Genomic DNA, 3,273 nt, shown 5'->3' with positions numbered 1-3,273 from the left:
AAATTCTATATCCTACATATATAATATATAATTAGAATCTCTAAAATGAAAGAAATCTTGGCAATCATTTAGTCCAGGGTCAGCAAGCTATATTATGTAAGTCAAATCCAAATTTATTTGGTGAACAAAGTTTTTTCTTTTGAAAACAGTGTACATTCATTTGTGTAATTTACATCCTCTTTTGTGCTAAACCAAAGAGTTAAGTAGATGCAACAGGGATTATATGACCCACAGATCATAAAATATTTACTTTCTTGCTCTTTACTGAAAAAAAGTTCGCAGATTCTAATCTAGTCCATACCACTCATTTTACAGAAAAGAAAACTGAAGTTTAGATATGCTAATTAAAGTTATTAAGCTTAATGGTAGACACCCTTCAAGATAGCCTGGAATGAGTCTCAGCTCCTGGTATACAGGCTGTTCCTCCAATATTGAAGCAGGGCCCGCCAGTGTGAACAACAGAGTATGACAGAAGAGAGAGTATGTGACTTCTGACGTAAGGATAAGGGTATTAAATCTTTCTTGCTCTTGATCTGGTTCTGGGGAAGCCGGATGTTATGGAATCAGGACACTTAAGCAACCCTATTAAGGGGCCCATGTGGAGAAAAACTAAGGCTATATCACTATATAAAGTAGTAAGTACCAATTTGCTACTTTACATAAATTAACATTTTGCAAATGGCGCCTCCATCCCAGTAAGGCCTTCAGATGACCAGAGCCCCAGAATAACTCATTGGAACCTTAGGAAACAATCTGAACAAGAACTGCATAATCAAGTTATTCTGGATTTCCCAATTCTCTGAAATTATAAAGATGTAATAATTACAATTGTTTAAACTACTTAAGTTTTGGAGTGATATGTTACAAAACATGAGGTAGCTAATATAGTGTCAGAAAAAAAGTTGTTCTTAAATATATCCATAAAGTAAAAGAAGGAAAAAAATTGTTGGAGAGTTTGTTTTGTTATGTTTTATATTTGTTCTTACAACTTAAACTAGATATTTATAAACTGCATAATCCAAGTCGAAAATCTGCTTTTAGATTTAACTTAAAATGTGTTGAAATTTTTATTCACAGAATTTTTCACTTTATCTTAAAAATGTGAGAAATAAAGATAATTTTTGTTAATGAGTAATCATTAATTAAATTCTACATTAGTAATCTGAGTAATTAAAGGAGAACGTAAAATACTCTTTGAGTCAGGAGCCAGTGTGATACCAAGAAGTATATTAATGAATTTTGTAAGGATATATGTAATCCATATTCCTACTACCAATTTACAATAGATTTCCAAAAACATTCAATCTAAGTTAGTGAGCCTAATTGCAAAAACAGCACTAAGCATTAGTCTTTTAGACTTCTTACAAATCTGACTTTAAACATCTTTTCTATGTTTACCAAGATTTACAGAGACAGAATAAACTTATATTTCCTTGTACATATTTATTGCTTAAGAAAATAAATTTGGGAAAGAGAATGATTTATTAACTCCATACAAAAAGACAAAGCCAAGCACATTCTCTTGATCCAATTTTTTAATTTAATTTTTTAAGGGAGGATAGTCATAAATGTAAATTAGAATATATAAAAAGCATTTTCTCCAGACACTTATATATATTTCTTAAACTAGTCCAAAAACTTTTTCTTAAGATTTTTTTTCAAATTCAAAATTACTGCCAAATTCCAGAATTGGGAAATCCATGAATCAGTTATTTTTACTCTGCATAAGATATTAGATGAAGAAATATATGCACTTATTCTTAAAACTGTTTGTATAGATTTCCAAAATATCTTGCATCTGTAACTCTTAATTTCAGCTGTACATATTTTGCATAATTTATTAGTTCTCCCCCCTTCCCCTAAAGTATGATCAAGTTCCTACTCTTTGAAAGATGTGCCACCCTGCTCTGTGGGTGATTCAATGGTATATAAGTAATGTGACTTGATTTGTGTCTATCTGGAGAAGTAAAGCATGAATACAAATAAAAAAAAAGACAGTAGAAAATGATTAGAGCCTTTAGAGAGCAATAAATTAAACGCTATCATAGCATATATAAAAAAATAGTTCTAGTCCATGAAAGAAAAATTACAGAGGGGATGTGTCATTTCATTTTTAGCATATATCTGATTTAAAAATCTGGAGTTTGGGAAATGAGGAAGGATGGGACCATTTTTTCTCCACATTTTTTCTGCATTATAGAAAAGCATAACCAAAGGCATGTTACTGGAAGGAATCGCAGAATATAACATGAGGCTATCGGTATAGCCTTTTTGCTCTGATCATAGGGGTAGTATAGAGAAGCTGGTAATGTCAGCTGTAACAAAAGTTAAATGGCACGAATCACTCAAAATTAGAACAGAACAATGCTATTATTTGACCAGAGCTTCAGGGAGTTTACTAGGTATTACAATGAGATAAGACAACCCACAGGATGAGATAAAATATTCGTAAACTACCCATCTGACAAGAAATTGATAAGTAGAACAGATAAGGAATTCAAACAACTCAATAGGAAAAATATCTGATTTTAAAATGGGCAAAATACCTGAATAGACATTTCTCAAAGAAGACATACAAATGGCCAGCACATATATAGAAATTTACTCAGCACCGCGAATCATCAGAGAATTGGAAATCAAAACTACAGTGAGATATTATCACACTCAAGCTAACAGGACTTTAATCTAAAAGACAAGCAGTAATGAATGCTGGCAAGGGTACGGAGTGAAAGGAAATCTTACACACCGTTGTAGGTGGAAATGTCAATTAGTACAGCCACCATGGAGAACAGTATGGAGGTTCCTCAAAAAATTAAAAATAGAACTACCATATGATCCAGCAATCCCTTTGCTGGGTATATGTCCAGAAGAAAAGAAATCAGTATTTTGAAGAGATATTGGCACTGCCATGTTTATTGCAACGTTATTTACTATAGCCAAGATACCCAAGCAACCTAAATGCCTATCAGTGAATGAATGGATAAATAAAATATGGTACATATACACAACAAAATATTCTTCAGCCAAAAAAAAGAATGAAATCCTTCATGGATGGAACTGGAGGACATGATGTCAAGTGAAAATAAGCCTGGCACAGAGAGACAAATATTGCATGTTGCCACTCATATGTGGGAGCTAAAAAAATTTAAACTAATGGAAATAGAGAGTAGAATGATGGTTACCAGAATCTGAGAAGGGTAGCAGAGAGGGGAGGATAAAGCATGATGGTTAATGGGACAAACTTATAGTTAGATAGAATGAATAAATCTAGTA

Source organism: Homo sapiens, chromosome 1 (assembly GCF_000001405.40).
Source record: "Homo sapiens chromosome 1, GRCh38.p14 Primary Assembly".
In the NCBI taxonomy this organism is placed as follows: Eukaryota; Metazoa; Chordata; class Mammalia; order Primates; family Hominidae; genus Homo; species Homo sapiens.
Note: the sequence above shows the minus strand (reverse complement) of the source record.